The sequence below is a fragment of the Homo sapiens genome, chromosome X (assembly GCF_000001405.40).
Source record: "Homo sapiens chromosome X, GRCh38.p14 Primary Assembly".
NCBI lineage: Eukaryota > Metazoa > Chordata > Mammalia > Primates > Hominidae > Homo > Homo sapiens.
This window is the reverse complement of record NC_000023.11, coordinates 92,569,616-92,592,472: the sequence shown is the minus strand read 5'-3', so window position 1 is coordinate 92,592,472 and position 22,857 is coordinate 92,569,616. Positions and strand designations below refer to the sequence as shown.

Sequence of the window (22,857 nt, the reverse complement as noted above, 5' to 3'; positions counted from 1 at the left end):
GGCGTGAGCCAGTGCGCCTGGCCTTGAATCTTTTTTACTAAAGGGAACCTCCTATGTGAAATCAGTAAGCCATTACTAAGGGGACAGCTTAGCAACAGGCACACGAGGCGTCTCCAAAGAAATGGTAAGTGATTTTTACAAGATCTAGAATCTCCCCAAAGGTAGTTCAGATAAAAGAAAATTCAAGACCAGAAGCTCTCCATGGAGGGAAAAAATATCAATAAATGGCAAAATTTCTACAAGTATTAAACCTCAAAGGACTCACTCCAAAGCCAAAACTGAACCCAGGCCACCAATTGGAGAGGGTAAAGAGTTAGCAACTGACCCAGAGCAAAGGTGACTGCTGTTATTCTTCCCTGAGGGAGTCTTGAACATTTTCAAGCTTGCAAAGGATTTTAACTGCTCAGGAACCATGTTATTATTATGGATCCTTCTTTTAATTTAACCTTTTTCTTTTAATGGTATCCTCAGTTCCAATAGCGACTCAATTCAAAAAGTCTGGTAAAGTCTAGATCTCAAATTTCCAGGCTTTTACCATATCAGCAAAAGGTGTTTCCAGAAAGAGAGTAGAGGAGACATCTCCATAATCCCCATGATCCCCATGATTCCCAAGAATTTACTCTCAGAAATGGGCTTAAGATAGCAAAAGATGATAAAATCCCAACAAAGATGAGGCCTTTTAAGACAAAGCTCACCCAGGGGCTTGGCATATTCAGGATGAAGAACATGCTGATTCATCTCAGACCGCTTGTCCTCTCAGACTGGCTACCTGACATAAACTCAAATATTCCAGCCCTCCAGATGATACAGGCCCAAAAGAGAGTACCCCACATAGTCATAAAGTCATGCTCTCAAGGACGTAAAGCAAGACAAGAAGAAACCTTTATCTAGTTTTTGCTCCAGGGATCTGTAGCATAGTTTGTAACTGACCAACCTGCAGGGCTGGCTTGAGTAGCAAGCTGATAGGGGTCCTAAATACACATTCTATTCTGCGGTACCCCTCTTTATGACAGAATGGCATAGAAAGACTAATTCATAGTGCAAGGTACACCAGATTCACTACAGTCTCAGACTTGCCTCACAAATCCTTTTTCTCATTAATAAACAGTGATTTTTACAGATCACTCAACTGGTTTGCACAAAGAGAGAGAGGAGCCAGAAGACTGATTGGTAAGAAATTCATTCTATTTCTTTTGCTGGCATGCCAGTTTTCCAAGTTCCCTTTCCCTTGGGGCCCTGGCGACCCTGCTCACTGCACTATAGTCACAAAGGAAAATCACCTTTTTCCATTTCATGGAGCCTTAGGCAAAAGCCTCTTAATTTTGCAAGATGCCACCCGATGGGCTGCATGGGGAAACCTCATTGGGGGAACCAAATTAACATTTTCCATCCCAGCTGTCACAAAATACACATAACAAAACAGACATTAGTCACCTTGCTGAACACCCAATATTGACCAATTTCCTTTGCTCCCTGTTTTCTTTGATCCATTCAAAGTGAGGAGGGACCTCTGACTGAGAATTCAATGGGTAGTGTAGGGCAATTTGAAGAGGGGATAATCACCCCTAGTCAGGCCTGTTGACCTTCCACTAACAATTGCTTCAGGGCTTACCAAATGTGACCAGACAAATAAGGAGGCTTCTCTGAGTTAAGCCTGCTGGACTTTCATCAGCAATTTCTTCAGAGATACCATCCACAAATACAAACACACACAACAAAGATGAACAGAAGGCCTTCCAAACCGATTCCAGACCAGAGGAGCATTCCTTCAAACAGTCCCATATTCTTCACCCAACTGAGGAGATAGTTCCCCCATCTGAAAATCCCTGTGATAGGGCCAGTCCCTGTGACAGGGCTACAGTGCATCTTAGTAAGGCCAATAGATCAGGGGAAGGGTGGAGGTGATGGTAGTGCCTAGCATGTTCACCAGGTAGGTTCCAGACTATTTCTCCACTGCAATTAGGCCCAAGCCCTGTGGGTCAACAGCACCTCATCAGCAGAGACAGCACCAGAGATAGCCTTCAGTTAAATAAGCAGCTGCCAGAGATCACCTCTGTGTTCCTCATTCTGGTGGGGGGACTAACAAACTGTGGTCAGGGGATCCCAGATGAGCCCCCAAATTTATAACTTCCCAAGAGTTTCTTCCTGCCTGCTGCATAAAGAAAGACCATGCCATTGCAGGAAAGAGTTTAATAGACATGATGCCAGCCACCCCATGTGGGAGTCAGAGTTTATACTCAAATCATCTCATCCAAAGCTCGTCAGTTAGGTGTTTTTCAAAGGCAGTTTGGGGAAAGGGGTGGGGGTGGCCAGGTAATGAGTGCTCATTGCTGATTGCTTGGGGTGGAAACGAAATCATAGAGGGTCATAGCTGTCCTCTTGCAGGATAAATTGGGTGGGGTTGGTTGGTCCAGGTGGAGCCATGGGTGTCAGATATGCAAAAAAAAAAAGAAAAATATATCTTAAAAGGCCAATCTACAATAGTGGTGTTATCGTAGGAATAATTGAGGAAGCTGCAGATCTTATAATCTTCAGATTAATGGCTGAAAATCTTTCATGTCTGCGCCTCAGCAGGACTCGGCTCCTCTCCTCAGCCTAGACTGATGGCCTCCCATTAGCTTTACAAAAGCCTCGTTGAGTTTTGGGTAAGACCTATTATCATTTAAACAACAGACTAAATGTCTCTCAAAGTTACCTTGTACTAATAGCCCAGGAATAATTAAGGGAAAGGTAAGATGGGGGGGTAGATTAGCTCAGATCTTGTTCACTTTTGTAATTGTCTCACTGATACAATTTTTAGAAAGGCAGCTTCATTCATTTTAATGAAGGTGATTTTCCCTGATGATATGATTTAGCTTTTTGCTTTCTATTTTTTGTGTATCCATTGTATGTTTTTCGGTTTGAGATTACCATGAGGCTTGCGAATACTATCTTATACCTCATTTTTTAAGGTGGTAAAAACTTAACAGTACTTGCATAAACAAACAAGCAAAAAGTAAACTAATAAAGATTATATGCTTTAACTTTGTCCCCTGCTTTTCAAATTTTTGTTGTTAATATTTATATGTTATTGTACTGTTTATGTCTTGAAAAGTTGCTAAATTATTATTTTTGATAGGTTTATCATTTTGTCTTTCTACTTAAAAGTAGATTACACACCACAGTTACAATGTTATAATATGCCGGTTTTCTGTGCATTTACTATTCCTAGTCAGTTTTGTACCTTCAAATGATTTCTTATTAATATTTTCTTTCTGATTCAAGTACACCCTCTAGCATTTTTTGTAGGAGAGGTCTGGTGTTAATGAAATATGTCAGCTTCTGTTTGTTTACAAAAGTCTTTATTTCTCCTTCATGTTTGAAGAATATTTTTAACCAGACATACTATTCTAGGGTAGAAGGGTTTTCTTTGTTGTTGTTGTTGGTTGTTTTGTTTTGTTTCCTGTTAGCACTTCAAATTTGTCTTACCAGTCTATCCTGGCCTGTAGGGTTTTCACTGAAAAGTCTGCTTCTAGATGTATTTGAGCTCCGTTGTATTTTCTTTTTCCCTGTGGTGCTTTTAGGATCTTTTTTTAGTCCTTGACCACTGGAAATTTCATTATTAAATGCCTTGAGGTCGTCTTCTTTGTGTTAAATCTGCTTGGTGTTCGACAGCCTTCTTATACTTGGATATTGATATATTTCTCTAAGTTTGGGAAGTTCTCTGTTATTCAATAGTATCCCCTTGAATAAACTTTCTACCCTCATCATTTTCTCTACCTCTTCTTTAAGGCCAATACCCCTTACATGTGCTCTTTTGAGGCTATTTTCTAAATCCTGTAGGCGTGTTTTATTGGTTTTTATTATTTATTCTTTATTCTTTCTTCTCTGTGTATTTTCATACAGTCTGACTTCAGGCTCACTAATTCTCTCTTCTATTTGATCAATTCTATTATTAAAAGACTAATGCTTTCTTAGTATGACAATTGTATTTTTCAACTCCAAAATTTCTGCTTGATTCCTTTTAATTATTTCAAGCTCTTTGTTAAATTATATGTATATATATACACATATACACACACAAACATATATATGTACATCCATATATATATATATATATACACACACACACACAAGTATATGAAAATCCACCAACCACTAGTAAATCAATTTTAAACAATGCACAAAGGACAGAAGTGTAATAAACATTTTCAGGATTTCGATGTGAATGAATGTTGCTAAAATATTATTTTAAATATATATTTTTTAGTACACTGTACAGTCTTTCTTAAATACCAACCCCATTTAATTATCTTAAAAACTATTTTTCAAGAAGAAAGTATGGGACCATCACAAATTAACTCAATGCAGGTTCAAAATAACATGCATTGTGAATTAGCGAGGTTCAATTTAATTATACTTTAAACAACATTCTCTGAGGGCTTCTGTAACTCATTAATAACATTTAATTTTTATGAATTGAATATTCTTCCTAGAGAAATATATTAGCCTCTCACACAGTAGCAAACTACTCTGTGAATATCACAGTAATTCTTCCCTAGGAAAATTGTGATGCAGTCATATAGTTGATCATTTTATCATGATGAAAAGGAAACTTGAAATGAGATTATTATTTAAATGATGGACAAAAATTCTGGCAACACACACATCAATGGAGTACACTGAGAAGATGGAATATACAGCAGAGTAATAGAAATAGCTATCTGCAAAGAATAGATTTCAGAGAATATTACTTCAATATCTCTTCTTCGAAACCATTTACAAGTGAACTGTTGCCATCTGCATTTACTGAGAAGAAGTCAGAAAAAATTACAGTATATCGAAATATATTTTAGCACAATTCAATAAAGATCACTGTCAGAGCATAATTCATCTGTTTCGGCTCAGAAGGAAAATTTGCTCTTATGATATTAAATTCATTTGGACAAATATTTTTCTACTTTCTAAATGCTTATATGTTTTTAACCTTTAGATTACTTTTGAGAACTATCTATTAAATCACATTTTTAATTGGATGATGTAGAATATGTTTTAAGTAATAGAGAAAATCCCAGTCTTTCAAAATTCAGATATCAAGTTCACAGACATGATTAAATGCACTCTGCTGATGCTCCTTATTATTTTCTAATCGCTATCAATTTGAGAGCAAATATATATTTTAAAGACGTTTTTCTTAATGTCATGCCGAAGCAGAATTGAATGTTCATTATACAAATATTTCCAGTCAAACTGTTCCATTTAATGTATCTGTTAATCTCTGATAGCAAATTTCATATGATAAAGGTCTTATACACACTATTTGATTAATGTTCTAAGCTGAACTCTCATGAAAAGAAATAAGATGCTGTAAAATTGCTTTTGATCTCTCTTTTTGATCTCTTGCACTTTCAGCAGCTTCCCAATTGCCCCACTGAAGACTGTCAATATTGTGTTTTAGGGCCGTATCAGGTTGTAACCGACATGCTAATTTCAGGCAAAAAAAAAAAAAAAAAAAAGGCTTCTGTGTAGAGTTCATCATTTGGTCGTTTCAAAACAATAAATGAGAAATATATGACTCATCTAATGGTCTGACACATCAGTGTTTAGTTAAATGTGGTACAAATGCATAGCTGAGTTATTTGAAATATTCAATCAAGATTTTAACTTTTTATTAGAGACTTCTGTGACTAAGTTCTGTATTGTTGGGGATAATCTGTGAAGACTGATAACTTCAATCTATTCATGTGAACTAACCAGAGCAGCCAAAGGATACACTAGGAAAAAATACCATAAGATGAGTAATCCCATTTTCACCTAATATTTCTACAATATCTACTGGAATTTGCTGGACACCAATTTAATTAAGCGATCATCACCAAGTTAGTAATTTGGAACCTACATAGGTAGGCAGACAAGAACTTGGTGAGTGTGGGGACTTTCTAAGAAAGTATCATTAAATGTTGCTACTTTATAGGTATAAATACAGCTATACTTTATGTTAATAAAGTATGTTTATTCTACACCAGACCATTAATCAATCCATAGTTCCATAATTGTATTTTAGGTTAAATTATTCAAGTTTCCATAGTCTTACTCTTATATAATTTGAAGTCTAAATTAAATAGGTTACCTAGTTTAACAAAGATCAGGTTTAAACAAATTGTTATTACTAGTTTAGGATTGCAATTAGAATAAAATGTTGAAAAAAACACAATTCTCGGTCAATGAAACAAACTGTCCTCAGTGGCACAAAAATATTCTTTGTTTTTTAAAATGCTGCCTGTACAGCAATACAGAGCTCATGATATCAACAACCATTAAACAATGACAAGTGACTTTAATTTGCTGTAGGATTTCTAATTAACCAGTAAGTGTAGCATTTTTTTGTATTATCAGTTTATTGCCACATCAGTAAAATGAGTGTAATGACCACCTTACAGTGGTTCAGTCAGCAATAGGCAGTAGAAAGTCTATTTTTCTTCTTTAGAAGTAGTATTTGATGAATATTGCAATTAAGTCCTGTTATTTTTTAAAAGCCTCTGAATTACCTTAGCAACTAAAAATAACCCATGAATAATATTATTGAATATTATGTTACATACTATTCTTTATCATGTAACTGTAAAGTATTTTTAAACACCCAAAGCTATCCAAAGTTAAAATAGAATGTACAGAAAAGCCAAACTTTTAATTCATCATTTTATATTTTATGATATTATGGGTATTATTGAAATAATGCACTCAACTTTGATATCACATTTGATGCAAAATGTTCTCATGCTTTGGGTTTAGTGATTCAAAGTATTCTTCAGAAAGCACTATTTGGCTGGGCGCGGTGGCTCACGCCTGTAATCCCAGCACTTTGGGAGGCCGAGGCGGGTGGATCATGAGGTCAGGAGATCGAGACCATCCTGGCTAACACAGTGAAACCCCGTCTCTACCAAAAATACAAAAAATTAGCTAGGCTTGGTGGTGGGCACTGTAGTCCCAGCTACTCGGGAGGCTGAGGCAGGAGAATGGCATGAACCCGGGAGGCGGAGCTTGCAGTGAGCCGAGATAGCACCGCTGCACTCCAGCCTGGGCGACAGAGCGAGACTCTGTCCCAAAAAAAAAAAAAAAAGAAAAAGAAAGCACTATTTACATTTGGCTTTTGAATTTGGAAAGGACAATTAATATGGTTTGGATCTGTGACCCTGCCCAAATCTCACGTGGAATTGTAATCCCCGGTGTTGGAGGCAGGGGGCCTGGTGGGAGGTGATCGGATTACGGGGATGAATCCTTCATGAATGCTAAACCATCCTCTTGATGCTGTTCTTTTGATAGTGAGTGAGATCTGCTTGTTTAAAAGTGTGTAGCACCCCCCTTTCCTGCTCCAGTTATGTACAGTGCTGACTGCACTTTGCCTTCTGCCATGATTGTAAGCTTTCTGAGGTCTACCCAGAAACCCAGCAGATGCCAGCATCCTGCATCCTGTACAGCCCGTGGGACTGTATAACCAACATGGAGAAACCCTGTCTCTACTAAAAATACAAATTAGCTGGGCATGATGGCACACGCCTGTAATCCCAGCTACTCTGGAAGCAGAGGCAGGAGAATCACTTGTACCCCCGAGGCAGAGATTGTGGTGAGCCCTGATTGTGCCATTACACTTCAGCCTGGGCAACAAGAGCAAAATTCCGTCTCAAAAAAAAAAAAAAAAAAAAAGGAAAAAAAGAGAATAATGCTGGCCTTAAAAATGAGTTGTCATGATTACTTTCCACTTGTATTTTTTGAAAACAACTTATGTAGAATTGTTATCCTTTCTTTCATAAATATTTGCCAAACTTCACCTGAGAAGCCATCTAGAACTGGAGTTTTCTTTAGGGGAATATTTTTAACAACAAAGTTAATCCCTTTAATAAACACAGAACTATTTCGATTATGTATCTTCCTTTTGAGAGAGATTTGGTAGCTCCTGCCTTTCAATAAATGTGTCTATCTCTTCTAAATTGTTTAATTTCTTTGGGAAAAAGTTGTTCATAATTATTTTCTGATGATCTTTTCACCATCTGTAGGATCTGAGAAGATACTCTCTTTTATTACTGATAATGGTGATTTTTGCTTTCATATATTTTTTGATCAGTCTAGCTGAGGGTATATCAAATTTTATTAAATATTTCAAAAGATGAACATTTGGCTTGTTAATTTTCTTAAATATTTGTTTTCTATATTGTTGAGAAATTCATAATTTCTTTATCCTTGCTTTGGGTTTATTTTGCACTTATTTTTCCAGCTTCTTAATGTAAAATCTTACAACACTAATTTTAGATTTCCCCTCATCACTAATATAATTATTTAAAGTTTTAATATTTACTCTGGACACTGTTTTAGTTAGTTGCATCCCATAAATTTTGATATATTTTATTTTTATTACAATTCCATTTAAAATATTTTCTTACTTTTTTATTTATTTCATCATTGTCTCATCAAAGTATATTGTTTAATTTCCAAATATTGTGATTTTTCCAAGATAGCTTATTATTTATATTTTAATTCCATTAACATAAATAAACATATTCTGTGTGCTTTCAATTCATTTGAATTCAATAAGTTTTTTAATAACCTAGAAAATAGTTGTAATAGTGCATTTTCATGCTGCTGATAAAGACATACCCAAGACTCAGTAATTTATAAAGAAAAAGAGGTTTAATAAACTTACAGTTCCACGTGGCTGAGGAGGCCTCACAATCATGTCAAAAAGTGAAAGGCAAATCTTACACTGAAGCAGGCAAGAGAGAATGAAGGCCAAGCAAAAGAGGTTTCCCCTTTTAAAACCATCAGATCTTGTGAGACTTATTCACTACCATGAGAATAGTATGGGGGAAACTGCCACCATGATTCAATTGTCTCCAACTGAGTCCCTCCCATAACGTGGGAATTATGGGAGCTACAATTCAAGATGAGATTTGGTGGGAACACAGAGCCAAACCATATCGTTTCTCCCCTGCCCCTCCCAAATTTCATGTCTTCACATTTCAAAACCAATCATGCCTTCCCAACAGTTCCCCAAAGTCTTAACTCATTTTAGCATTAACTTAAAAGTCCACAGTCCAAGGCCAGGTGCAGTGGCTCATGCCTGTAATCCCAGAACTTTGGGAGGCCAAGGCAGGAAGATCATCTAAGGTTGGGAGTTCGAGACTAGCCTGACCAACATGGAGAAACCCCATCTCTACTAAAAATACACAAAATTAGCCAGGCATGGTGGTGCATGCCTGTAATCCCAGCTACTCAGGAGGCTGAGGCAGGAGAATCGCTTGAACCTGGGAGGCGGAGGTTGCAGTGAGCCGAGATCACACCACTGCACTCCAGCCTGGGCGACAGAGAGAGAATCCATCTAAAAAAAAAAAAAAATCCACAGTCCAAAGTCTGATCTGAGATAAGGCAAGTCCCTTCCACCTATGAGACTGTAAAATCAGAAGGAAGTTTGCTATTTCCTAGATACAACAGGAGTATAGGCATTGGATAAATACACTCATTCCAAATGGAAGACATTGGCCAAAACAAAGGGACTACAGGCCCCATGCAATTCCAGAATCCAGTGGGGCAGTGAAATCTTAAAGCATCAAAATGATCTCCTTTGACTCCATGTCTCACATCCAGGTCACGCTAATGCAAGAGGTGAGTTCCCATAATCTTGGTCAGCTCCACCCCTGTGGCTTTGCAGGGTACAGCCTCCCTCCTGGATGCTTTCATGGGCTGGTGTTGAGTGTCTGTGGCTTTCCAGGTGCATGGTGCAAGCTATTGGTGGATGTACTATTATGGGGCCTGGAGGATGGTGATCCTCTTCTTATAGCTCCACTAGGCACTGCCTCAGTGGGGACTTTGTGTGGGGGCTTCAACCCCACATTTTCTTTCTGCACTGCTCTAGCAGAGGTTCTCAATGAGGACCCTGCTCCTGAAGCAAACTTCTACCTGGACATCTAGGCATTTCCATACACACTCTGAAATCTAGGTGGAGGTTCCAAAACCTCAATTCTTGACTTCTGTGCACTCACAGGCTCAACACCACGTGGAAGCTGCCAAGGCTTGGGGCTTGCACCTTCTGAAGCCATGGCCAAAGCTGTATCTTGGTCCCTTTTAGCGATGGCTAGAGCAGCTGGGACACAGAGAACCAAGTCCCTAGCCTGTGCATAACAGGGGGACCCTGGGCCGGGACCACAAACCTATTTTTTTTTTTTTTTCTAGGCTTTTAGGTCTGTGATCAAATGTCTCTAAAATGCTTTGGAGACATTTTCCCTGTTGTCTTGGGGATTAACATTTGGCTCCTGGTTACTTATGCAGATTTCTGAAGCCGGCTTGAATTTCTCCTCAGAAAATGGATTTTTCTTTTCTATCAATCATCAGGCTGCAAATTTTCTGAACTTTTATTCTCTGTTTCCCTTTTAAAACTGAATGTTTTTAACAGCACTGAAGTCACCTTTTGAATGCTTTGCTGCTTAGAAATTTCTTCTGCCAGATACCCTAAATTATCTCCCTCAATTTCAAAGTTACACAAATCTCTAGGGCAGGGGCAAAATGCCACCAGTCTCTTTGCTAAAACATAGCAAGAGTCACCTTTACTCCAGTGTTCAACAAGTTCCTCATCTCCATCTGAGACCACCTGAGCCTGGACTTTATTGTCCATATTACTGTCAGCATTTTGTTAGAAGCCATTCATCAGGTCTCTAGGAAGTTCTAAACATTCCCACATTTTTCTATCTGCTTCAGAGCCCTCCAAACTGTTCCAATCTCTGCCTGTTACTTAATACCAAAGTCATGTCCCACGTTTGCAAGCATTTTTACAGCAGCACCCCACTCTCAGTACCAATTTACTGTATTAGTTCGTTTTCACACTGCTGATAAAGACATGCCCGAGACTGGGTAATTTATAAAGAAAAAGAGGTTTAATGGACTCACAGTTCACGTGGCTGGGGAGGCCTCACAATCATGGTGGAAGCAAAAGGCATGTTTTACATGGCAATAGGCAAGAGAGAATGAGGGCCAAGGGAAAGAGGTTTCCCCTTATAAAACCATCAGATCTCGTGAGACTTATTCACTAGCATGAGAGCAGTATGGGCAAAAGCTATCCCCGTTACTCAATTATCCTACACTGGGTCACTCCTACAACATGTGGGAATTATGGGAGCTACAATTCAAGATAAGATTTGGGTGGGGACACAGCCAAAACATATCAATGGTCTACCTTGGTTAATGTACCATGTGCACTTAAAAAAAGGTGCATATTCTATAGTTTTGGGATATAGTGTTTGTCTATGTATAAGTATCCAAGTAGGTCAATGTGGTTGACGGTATTGTTTAGACCCACTATTTCTTACAGATTTTTTTCTCTATTTATTCTATCAATTGCAAAATGAAACATGTTAAAAAATCCTACTATGGAGGAGAAGTCAAGATTGCTGATTAGAAGAAACGGTGGTCAGCAGCTCTCACCAAGAAAAATGAACTCAGTGAGTGAATCCTGCACCTTCAACTGAAGTATCCAGGTTCTCTCACTGGGACTGACTAGGTTGTTGGCATGACCCACAGAGAGTGAGGAAAAGCAGGGTTGAGCAATGGCCCACCCAGGAGCCACACGGGGCAAGGGGAGCTCCCACCTCCACCCAAGAGAGGCAGTGAGTGATTGTGTTACCGAACTCGGGAAATCATACTTTTTCCATGGATCTATGCAACCCGCTGATCAGGAGATCCCTTCATGAGCCCAGGCTACCAGGGCCTTGGGTCCCAAGCACAGAGCTGTGCAGACTCTCGGCAGCCACTTGGGTTGTGGCCAGTGGCAGCAGGTTGGAGAGTGCCTAAATGACTGAGATCCCAGGGGGAGGGCCAACTGCCATCACTGCAGCTTCAGTAGGCTTTTTTTTCCCGGCCTGTGAGAGGGAGACTGGGCTGCTTGGACCGGAAGAAATTCTCCACAGCACCGCACAGTGGCTGTGGCAGATCATGGCCTGACTACTTCTTTAGATGGGACTAGGATCCATCCCTCTTCACTGAGTCGGGCCTCATTGTCGAAATTTCAGCACCTCCAGCCAGTTTACAGATAGAACTCTGATATCCCTGAGACAGAGCCCCTGATGAGATGGGCAGCCACAGTCTCCATGGATCAGCAGACTTAGTTTTTCCTGCCTGCTGGCTCTGGGAAGTCCAGGCAGTCCGGATGAGGGGGATCCTCCCCAGTGTAGAACACCTACTCGGCCAAGGGGCATCCAGGGTACTTTGTTGAGTGAGTCCCTGATCCCATGCCCTTTGACTGTATGAGATGCTCCAACAGGGGTCACCAGACACCTTATATAGGAGCATTCTAGCTGGCATAAGTTCAGTGCCCCTCTGGGACAAAGCTCCCAGAGGAAGGAGCAGGCAGCCATCTTTGCTGTTCTGCAGCCTCCACTGGTGACACCTCCAGGTGTGGGAGTGTCCCAGGTGAATAGGGTCTGGAGTGGACCCCCAGCAATCGCAACAGCCCTACAGAAGAGGAGCTTGACTGTTAAAAGAAAAGCAAGCAAACAGAAAGCAGCAACATCAACAAAAGACCCCACAAAAACTCCATCCAAAGTTCAGCAGCCTCTAAGATCCGAGGTAGATAAGCTCATGGAGATGAGAAAGAATCAATGCAAAAATGCTGAAAACTCAAAAAGCCACAGTGCCTCCTCTCCAAATTATCACAACATCTCTTTAGCAAGCACTCAGAACTGGACTGAGGCTGAGATGGCTGAATTGACAGAAGTAGGTTTCAGAAGGTAGGTAATAATGAAATTTGCTGAGCTAAAGACGTATGTTCCAATTCAATGCAAAGAAGCTAAGAACCACGATAAAACATTCCAGGAGCTGTTATGCAGAATAACCAGTTTAGAGAGAAAAACAAATGACCCGATGGAGCTGAAAAACACAAGAACTTCACAATTCAACCACAAGTAGCAATAGCTGGATAGACCAAACAGAAGAAAAGATATAGAGTTTGAAGATTATCTTGCCAAAATTAGACAGGCAGACAAGATTAGAGAAATAAAGAATAAAAAGGAATGAATAAAACCTCTGAGAACTATCAAATTATGTAAAAAGACCAAACCTAAAACTGATTGGGGTGCCTGAAAGAGAGGAGGGAAATGGAATCAAGTTGAAAAACATACTTCAAGATATCATCCAGAAGAACTTCCCCAACCTAGCAAGACAGGCCAACATTCAAATTCAGGAAATCCGGAGAACCCCAGTAAGATACTCCATGAGAAGATCAAACCCAAGACACATAATCATCAGTTCCCCAAAGTGGAAGTGAAGGAAAAAAATATTAAGGACAGCCCATGAGAAAGGCCAGGTCACCTATAAAGGGAAGACCATCAGACTAGCAGAGGACCTCTCAGTGATAACTCTACAAGCCAGAAAAGATTGGGAGCCAATATTCAACATTCTTAAAGAAAGAATTGCCAACCCGGAATTTCTTATCTGGCCTAACTAAGCTTCATAAGTGAAGGAGAAATAAAATACTTTTCAGACAAGCAATTGCTGAGGGAATTCATCACCATTAGGTCTCCCTTGCAAGAGCTACTGAAAGAAGCACTAAATATGGAAAGGAAGCACCATTATGATCCACTACAAAAACACACTGAAGTACACAGACCAATGAAACTATGAAGCAACTACATTAACAAGTCTATAAAATAACTAGCTAGCATCATGATGACAGGATCCAATTCATACATAACCATATTAAACTTAAATGTAAATGGGCTAAATCCCCCAATTAAAAGACACAAAATGGCAAGGTGGATAGAGTCAAGACCCACCAGAGTGCTGTATTCAAGAGAACCATCTCACATGCAAAGACATACATAGGCTCAAAATAAAGGGATAGAGAAAAAATTACCAAGCAAATAGAAAGCAGAAAAAAGCAGGGGTTGCAATCCTAGTTTCTGAAAAAAAGATTATTTAAACAAACAGTAATCAAAAAAGACAAAGAAGGGCATTACTAATGGTAAAGGCTTCAAATCAACAAGAAGAGCTAGTTATCCAAGAGCACCCAGATTCATAAAACAAATTATTAGAGACCTCCAAAGAGACTTAGACTCCCACACAATAATAGTGAGAGATCTATTTATTTATTTTTATTATACATTAAGTTCTGGGATACATGTGCAGAACGTGCAGGTTTGTTACATAGGTATACACGTGTCTTGGTGGTTTGCTGCACCCATCAACTCATCATCTCCATTAGGTATTTCTCCTAATGCTATCCCTCCCCTAGCCCCCCATCCCCCAATAGACCTCAGTGTGTGATGTTCCCCTCCCTGTGTCCATGTGTTCTCATTGTTCAACTCTAGTGGGAGACTTTAACACCCCACTGACAATATTAGATCAATCTTTGAGACAGAATATTAACAAAAATTTTCAGGGCTTGATCTCAGCTCCGGATCAAGTGGACCTGATAAATATCTACAGAGCTCTTTACCCAAAAACAACAGAATATGCATTCTTTGCCACATGGCACTTACTATAAAACTGATCACATAATTGGAAGTAAAATACTCCTCAGCAAGTACAAAGGAACTGAAATTATAATAAACAATCTCTCAGACCACAGCACAATCAAATTAGAACTCAAAATTAAGAAACTCACTCAAAACTATACAACTACATGGAAATTGAACAACCTGCTTTTGAATGACTCCTGGGTAAATAAGAAGATTAAGACAGAAATTAAGTTATTTGAAACTAATGAGAACAAAGATAACGTACCAGAATCCCTGGGACATAGGTAAAGCAATGTTAAGAGAACATTTCACAGCACTAAATGCCCACATTGACTAGAAAGATCTCAAGTTGACATTCTAATATCACAACTGAAAGAACTAGAGAACCAAAAGCAAACAAACCCCAAAGTTAGCAGAAGACAAGAAATAACTAAGATCAGAGTGGACCTGAAAAAGATAGAAAAAAAAAAATCTCTTCAAAAACTCAACTAATCTTGGAGCTGGTTTTTTGAAAAAAATTAATAAAATAGAGAAACCACTAGCTAGACTAATAAAGAAGAAAATAGAATATTCAAATGAACATATTCAGAAATGATAAGGGGGATACCACCACTGACTCCACAGAAATACAAACAACCATCAGAGAATACTATAAACACCTCTATGCACATAAACTAGAAAAATCTAGAAGAAACTGATAAATTTCTGGACACATGCACCCTCCCAAGCCTGAACCAGAAAAAAGTTGAATCTCTGAATGGACCAATAATGAGTTCTACAATTGAGAAAGTAACAAATAACCTACCAACCAAAAAAAGTCTAGGAGCAGATGGATTTACAGCTGAATTCTACCAGAGGTACAAAGGAGAACTGCTACTACTTTTTCTGAAACTATTCCAAACCATGGAAAAGGAGGGACAACTCCCCAACTAATTCTATGAGACCAACATCATCCAACGAAAACAAAACAAAAGCTAAAGAATATAATAAATACCAGAACTGCCCTGCAAGAAATGCTACAGGAAATATTTCAGTCAGAAAGAAAAGAAAGATAATAAGCCTTAAGTAATCACCTGAAAGTATAAAATTTACTACTAGTAGTAATTACACAGATAAAACAATATTATAACACTGTAACTGTAGAATATAAACTACTGTTTTCCTAAGTAAAAAACTAAATGATGAAGCAATAAAAAATAATAACTACAACAACTTTCAAGACATAGACAGTACAATAAGATATAAATAGAAACAACAGAAAGTAAAAAAACAGGCAAACAAAATTAAGGCATTGTTTTTATTACTTTTCTTTTTGTGTGCTTTTTTTGTTTATGCAAACAGTGTTAAGTTATTATCAGCTTGAAATAATCACTTATAGGATGATATTTACAAGCCTCGTGGTAATTTCAAACCAAAAGCATACAAAGAATACACAAAAAGTTAAAAACAAGAAACTAATTTGTGTCACCAGAGAAAATCACCTTCAATAAACAAAATACAGGAAAGCAAAAAGAAAGAAAAAGCCACAAATCCACAAGAAAACTAATAACAAAACAGCAGGAGCAAGTCTTTACTTATCAATAATAACATTGTATGTAAATTTACTAAACTCTCCAATGAAAAGACATAGAATGGCTTAATGGATTGAAAAAAAAAAAGACTCATTGATCTGTTGTCTAAAAGAAACACACTTATAAAGAAACACACCTATGAAGGCACATAGCCAGGAAATAAGGGGATAGAAAAATATATCTGCCAAAAATATACCTGCCAATGAAAATCAAAAAAAAGAGCAGAACAGTTATATAAGACAAGATAGGTATCAAGACAAAAACTATAAGAGACAAAGAAAGTCGCTGCATAATGACGAAGTGGTCAATTCAGCAAGAGGATGTAATGATTTTAAATATACATGAACCCAACCCTGGAGCACCTATATATATGTATATATAGCACCTGTGTGTGTGTGTGTGTGTGTGTGTGTATATATATATATATATATATATATATATATATACACCCCAGGTGTGTGTGTGTGTGTGTGTGTGTGTATATATATATATATATATATATATATATATATATATATACACACCAGGTAACCTACAAAATTCCGTTCTAGGAAGACCAACTAGTTTTTGTCAGTGCATGATACTAGGAGTCACAAGCTTCAATATGTTGAAATGATGAGTCAAGTTAAGGAACAACAAAACAGATCAGACCCCAAAGACTGGTATAGTTTACCTGTGTAGCTAATTGGATTCATTGTGTTCTGAAAATATATTTGTTGGAATTTGGGAAGAATGAGGAAGTTGAGTTAGTAAGTAAATATGGTAACAATTGAATTTAATCTATAGTTATACAATCAGTCATTTCAGTCATAAGTCTACACAAACATAATAGTAGACAACAGTCTTTTGAATAATAAGCTCACACTTTACTAATGAACCTATGATAATATATTATTTTATAAAGTCAATTGTAGCCTAAGGTAAAAGACAAAAGTGAAAAAGACCACAAAGTCTATTTTTGCACATCACCTTATTTTCAATAATTTATAATAATTTTTCACCATATAAAAATTATTAAATTTTTAAAATTTAAATTAGTAAATTTTCACCATATAAAAATTATTAAAAATTAAAAACAAATCCTGAAAGGTGTTAAAATATTTAAATAGTGTGTAATTTAATTAATAACAAAATAGAAATAAAACATAGCCTGTAATACTAGATTGGCATAGATGAAATAATTAAATTATCCATGATATATTCAAACTATGCATTTGTTTATTTACATACATAATGTACTCATAAAATTATCTTACACGTACATGCATATGCCCAAATTTAAGTAACTATATATGTATAGTATGATTGATTTCAAATAAAATAATATAGCAAACCAAATAGAATGAAGTGATGAAAAACGGCATACTTGTTTTTCTTATATTTTAAGCATTCTGGAATATTTAACTTATCTAAAATACCAAAAGCAGCGCACTTTTACAGTCATATAATAGCATTACCGTATGTTTGAGACATTTTTTCCAAAATGTTTTCAGTTTTGAAGTATTCATGTTAGCCTGCTGAACCAAACTTCTAAGGGTTAAGTGAAAAAAACTACCAACCAAACACACAGTATTTTTTGTAATCTTCAAATGCAGAACATCTACCTCTCAAAACATCTAATATAGTTGACTACCTGTCAAAAACAAATTTTTGTAAATGTATGTGCAATAACTGAAATCACATAAACAACTACTTAGCCCAGTAATTAGTAAGTCTAATCACTTCATGCCTGTGCACTCGATATGAGGAAACAACAATTAAATTAATTCCACTAGATGACAATATTAAAAATACTTGAAGGGCATTTCAATAATTGAAAATTAACTGACGGGTTTATTATATTATTTTGAAAAAATGAATTATTGCTCTCCTGTCTTCTAAATATTCTCTTCATGTATTGGGAGATATATAAGCATCCTAAAAATGTGATTTAAATTGTGGCTAAGGATTTTCATGTTTCTACTCCATGAAACTCTAATAACTACGGTAATTAACTTAGCACTTGGGTATTATCAAGCTGAGCTAATACGACATAAAGAAGGTATTTCACATTTGTTGGTCTTGATAAATTGAACATAAATTATCAGAGTGAACATCTTTTATATAAAGAAAATGTAACTATTTCTCCCCAGAATTAGTCAGATGACCATTCACTAATTTCGCTGAAACTTTCATTCTTGATTTTAAGAAATAGCAGACTCTCCATTTGCAATATGACAGAACAGTTAATGGCATTGGAAGTTTATTTCCCAGGGCATGACAAGAATGCTTTTAGTGCTTAAAAGTGAAACTGTTTTCCAAAGAAAAGAGGAAGTTATTCACTTAACTCCCCACATTGTTACTGAAATAATTTGGAAGGATTCCTATCTCACAAAGTTGGTAATGGTTGCACTGTATTTGCAGTATGAGAAAGGATTTATGCATTGTAAATACTACAATTCTGCCGGGAAAAGCCATTCAGTCTTAAATGAGGCACACGAATCATACCTAACAGCATTAAAAACTACCTTATTTTGCATGAACATGCATTTAAACTGTAGTTTTCTCTGTGGAATAGGGAATGTTCAATTTTAGCTAAGATAATCTGCATAAAAAAGGACTAATTTACATTCTCATGACTGCCTCTGTTATTCTCATCTTAAGCACATATTTATAATTATGAAAAGCCTATAGTATTTTCTTTACATTAGGATCTTACAAAACTTTACCTTATTTTTATGTTACACTCTATTATTATTATTTCTATGAAACTGGCAAAATTTAAAGACAAAATGGGTATTTATGAAATAAATATGGAAGTGTCTATGTAATTAAAATTATTTAAAAGATTTTTGGTTAAAATAGCTTTTTGATTTCTTTACAAACATAAGTAAAGACTTTAGAGTTCTTTTACAACTGAACTGTGGTATAAATATGTATTACCATCCTACTATAATTGCTGCACATGGTTCATGATACTTTAAATGAGTGTCCACTCAGAACTCAAGCATGAGTTTGTCAGTTTTTAGTTGACCTTATAAAGGGAATAATGCTGAATAATAGCTCTTTATTTTTTCTATTTTACTTTATTATGGACTGTTCAATAAATGTCAGGTCAATTGCTTTTCCTCCAAAACCAATTCCCTTAAAATGAATTGAAGATTGTTTTTCTTTCTTGAAAAGAACTGAAGACACCTAAGGGGTCATCTAGTAATATTACAGAATAGAAAACCAAGGCAAAGTAAAGTCACCTCCCCAAGTGCTCAAAAATCATGGCAAAGGCAGGCCTAGAACCCTACTTTCCTCATTCCTAACACAGTGTTTGTCTAACTACCATTTGCTCTTGTGGGATAGTAAGGACAACATGCGTTGTGGTACATTCCCCATTCAAAAGCATTCAATTCATATTCAGAAGGTAGAATGATTTTTGGTTTCAAGTTAGAATAAAATTTTTCAGAATTTCATCACAGCTTGCATTCAGATCTTTTCTGAAAAATAATATGAATTAATTCTCTAAATTCCTGAGCTTGTTTATTTCATATTTATTTATTTATTTATTTTTGAGATGGAGTGTCACTCTGTCACCCAGGCTAAAGTGCAGTGCCGTGATCTCGGCTCATTGAAACCTCTGCCTCCCAGATTCAAGGGATTCTCTTGCCTCAGCCTCCCAAGTAGCTGGGATTACAGGTGCACACCACCACACCTGGCTAATTTTTGTATTTTCAGTACATACAGGGTTTCCCTATGTTGGCCAGGCTGGTCTCAAACTCCTGACCTCAAGTGATCCACCTGCCTCAGCCTACCAAAGTGCTGGGATTACAGGTCTGAGCCACTGCGCCTGGCCAGCCACAGGGCCCAGCCCTCAGTTTGTTTTTTAAAAATTGCCTTTCACTTTTCTAATTTACTTTTCACTATTTGATGAGATTAAAGGATAGTTAAGATACTACACAAATAAAATAGTAATAACATTTTGGCTGCTGAAAAAATGTACTCCTATATTTTAGACATAAATTCATAAAATTCAACCAGTCTTGCAGTTGGTCATCAGCAGTCAGACAGTCAAGCAGTTTATTACTTTTCTTCCTGCTCTTTAGAATATAAGCCACAACTGGGCAATTCTCAGATGTATTTACTAGTTTTCCGCTGCTCACATCCATTACATAAGACGTGCCTACTAAGAACTGCTCTCAACTCTGATAAAATCAATGACTATGGCAGAGAAACTTCTGATTTATAATTTGCAATAAGAAGTTTCATAGTGACATGACTTAGTTTTTAAGCTTTATTTCTAATGAGAGCACACAGCGACTGTAATCTACATTACAATTAATGTAATCAGCATTAGAATGTTAAAGAGGACATTTTAAGTCACATTTCAGAATGTTATTTACAATTCATTCTACATTTTATCTACACATATATAATCAAGTTTAATTTGAAGGCCTAATTTAGTTATTTTTTCCACATATCAAACACAGTTTGAAAATTTTATTGTTTCATTGTTCATTTGTTTAATATTACGATTTTCAAATATTCTATTTAACCAACCCTATTAAATATTGGTCCCATCCAACATTTGCCATTTATCCTTCCTTCCTACTGAGCCTAGTGGCAGAGAAAGGCTGAGAACATAGGAAGTAGGGTGGAAGGTTGAGGAATGGTGATAGTGGTGAATAACTGTTGAAGCTTGCAATAAATATAAGCAAGTTCTCAGTAGGGATTCCTATTAAACCTAGCCTAAATCAAATAAAATTACTGGATCATATACAGCACCACTTTTCTTTTAGAATCGACATCATTCTGACTCATTACGGCAATTCTTGTATCTGGGACTTCAAGTAAGCCTGCAATATTTATTATGCCAAATAGTTAATAAAGAACGCAGACTGCTTTCTTTGCATACAATTTTGAGTTATGCTCCAACAAACTCCACACACTTTTATTACATCTTATTATATCATCAAATATCAACTTCATATTTTTTCACCAATTCATCTCCCTTAATACTAATTTGATATTTAATTACTAAATATTATTTTATTTTAAAGTGTTATTTACCTTAAATTTATAAATTAAATTTTAATTTACTAAAATACTAATTTAATAGCAATTAAAAACTTAATGGAAAATAGTAATTAGGTTTGTGTATCCTGGCCAAAGTCACAAAGTAAACAGAGCAGCCATACATTGCTCCTTATAATACATAAATGGAAATTGTAAGCATGTGATCAAGCTCTTCCCAGAAAAAAACAGTCATCAAAACAAATGAGAGCTAATTTAAAACACTCATTCTGTGCTTCATTCAGTATTGTGCCCAGGAATAAAAAGTAAAGGTTAATTCTGGTTTTACAAAAACCTTTCAGTTAGCTCTGTCATCAATTTGAAAACAATGTAAGGTAATTTCTATAAATTATAAAAACTCGTCAAAGATATTCTTTATCTTTACAATTCAATTTAAAAATGTCAATTTTTTAAAAAGAGGCCTTCAAATGAATCATATCTATGTGTTTATTCTTTTTTCTCTCTTCTTATTTATGTTCTAATATGCATTCCCCATAATACCGTTTCTATGTCTATAGTTAATTCATTATAGAACAGTGCTTCCATTCAAGCTCAAGTTAGCAGAATATATTCATCAAAAATAATTGGACTTGAGAAGATAGATTTAGATTATGACAGAGAATAACTCATTATGGTTATTAACAATCTTCTCACCAACTGAGCTGTTTGAGAGTTGGAAGGTAAAAATATTATGCTGGAGTACCCTGGGGTAGGCATAGTTAGAAAATTGAGCTGAAATAAAGCTAAAATATGCAGGTTTCCCAGTATTAAATTTCATGACATTTAAAAAATTATCTTCTCTCTCCCTCCTACCCTAATGCTATAATGATCAGTAAGATCACCTAATTACTTTTGCATACAGTGAAGAGTTACAGTTTTGTAATGGCACCTCAAAGGAGCAACCTCAGTAACAGTGACTCATTTAGCTGTTTAGAAATTCTGTTGATTCACAGGGGGTTACAAACTGTTGCTCAATAGACTAACATGATCAAGTAATTTATGTTAAACAAAACATCATTTTTCTCTTGATAAACTATAATAGTATTTCATAAAATATGGATTAATATAGTTTCAAAATATGGCAACGATTACTATTAAATGTGTTCTAGCAAGACATGCACATTGAAAATATAACTGTACACTTGTGTAGACAAAATATTTTATTGCATATGGTAGAACTTAAACTCTATCATTTAAAAACAACAGAGTATATGAATGTAAGTTCATTGATGTACTATAGCTCCTGCAAAATTTAAATGATTACCACCACAGTTAAACTGATGTGAAACATGTAAAAATAGCACAAGATATTATATTTCAACAAACATATACTTTCTTTTTTCTGGTTTTTTTTTTTTTTTTTTTTTTTGAGACTGAGTCTCACTCTGTCACCCAGGCTGGAGTACAATGGTGCGATCTCGGCTCACTGCAACCTCCGCTTCCCAGGTTCAAGCGATTCTCCTGCCTCAGCCTCCTGAGTGGCTGGGATTACAGGTGCGCACTACCACACATGGCTAATTTTTGTATTTTTAGTAGAGAGGGGGTTTCACCATGTTGTTCAGGCTGGTCTCGAACTCCTGACCTCCTGATCTGCCCACCTCGGCCTCCCAAAGTGCTGGGATTACAGGAGTGAGCCACTGTGCCCGGCCAATGAACACATAATTCCAAATGTTAATTTACTCAAAGAAATCAAAATACAATGGAAGGCATACAGTGGAATATACCATTAAAAATCAAAATATCAAAAAATAGTTAATGACATTGGAAGA

The 22,857-nt window shown here is 36.5% G+C and overlaps 1 protein-coding gene across 13 annotated transcripts in view, besides 3 other annotated features; it reads right to left on the bottom strand.

Annotated features, from left to right (window-relative positions):
- The window catches only part of PCDH11X (protocadherin 11 X-linked), an 843,856-nt gene that overhangs the window by 30,758 nt on the left and 790,241 nt on the right, over positions 1 to 22,857 (bottom strand). The gene's annotated exons all lie outside the window — the stretch shown is intronic.
- Positions 962 to 1,662: an enhancer, noted in NCBI's record as "OCT4-NANOG-H3K27ac-H3K4me1 hESC enhancer chrX:91845810-91846510 (GRCh37/hg19 assembly coordinates)". NCBI's record gives its function as "activates a minimal SCP1, AML or CMV promoter by ChIP-STARR-seq in naive and primed H9 embryonic stem cells {active_cell/tissue: H9 hESC(naive and primed)}" and the evidence as "EXISTENCE:reporter gene assay evidence [ECO:0000049][PMID:30033119]".
- Positions 1,663 to 2,363: an enhancer, noted in NCBI's record as "OCT4-NANOG-H3K27ac-H3K4me1 hESC enhancer chrX:91845109-91845809 (GRCh37/hg19 assembly coordinates)". NCBI's record gives its function as "activates a minimal SCP1, AML or CMV promoter by ChIP-STARR-seq in naive and primed H9 embryonic stem cells {active_cell/tissue: H9 hESC(naive and primed)}" and the evidence as "EXISTENCE:reporter gene assay evidence [ECO:0000049][PMID:30033119]".
- Positions 2,364 to 3,064: an enhancer, noted in NCBI's record as "OCT4-NANOG-H3K27ac-H3K4me1 hESC enhancer chrX:91844408-91845108 (GRCh37/hg19 assembly coordinates)". NCBI's record gives its function as "activates a minimal SCP1, AML or CMV promoter by ChIP-STARR-seq in naive and primed H9 embryonic stem cells {active_cell/tissue: H9 hESC(naive and primed)}" and the evidence as "EXISTENCE:reporter gene assay evidence [ECO:0000049][PMID:30033119]".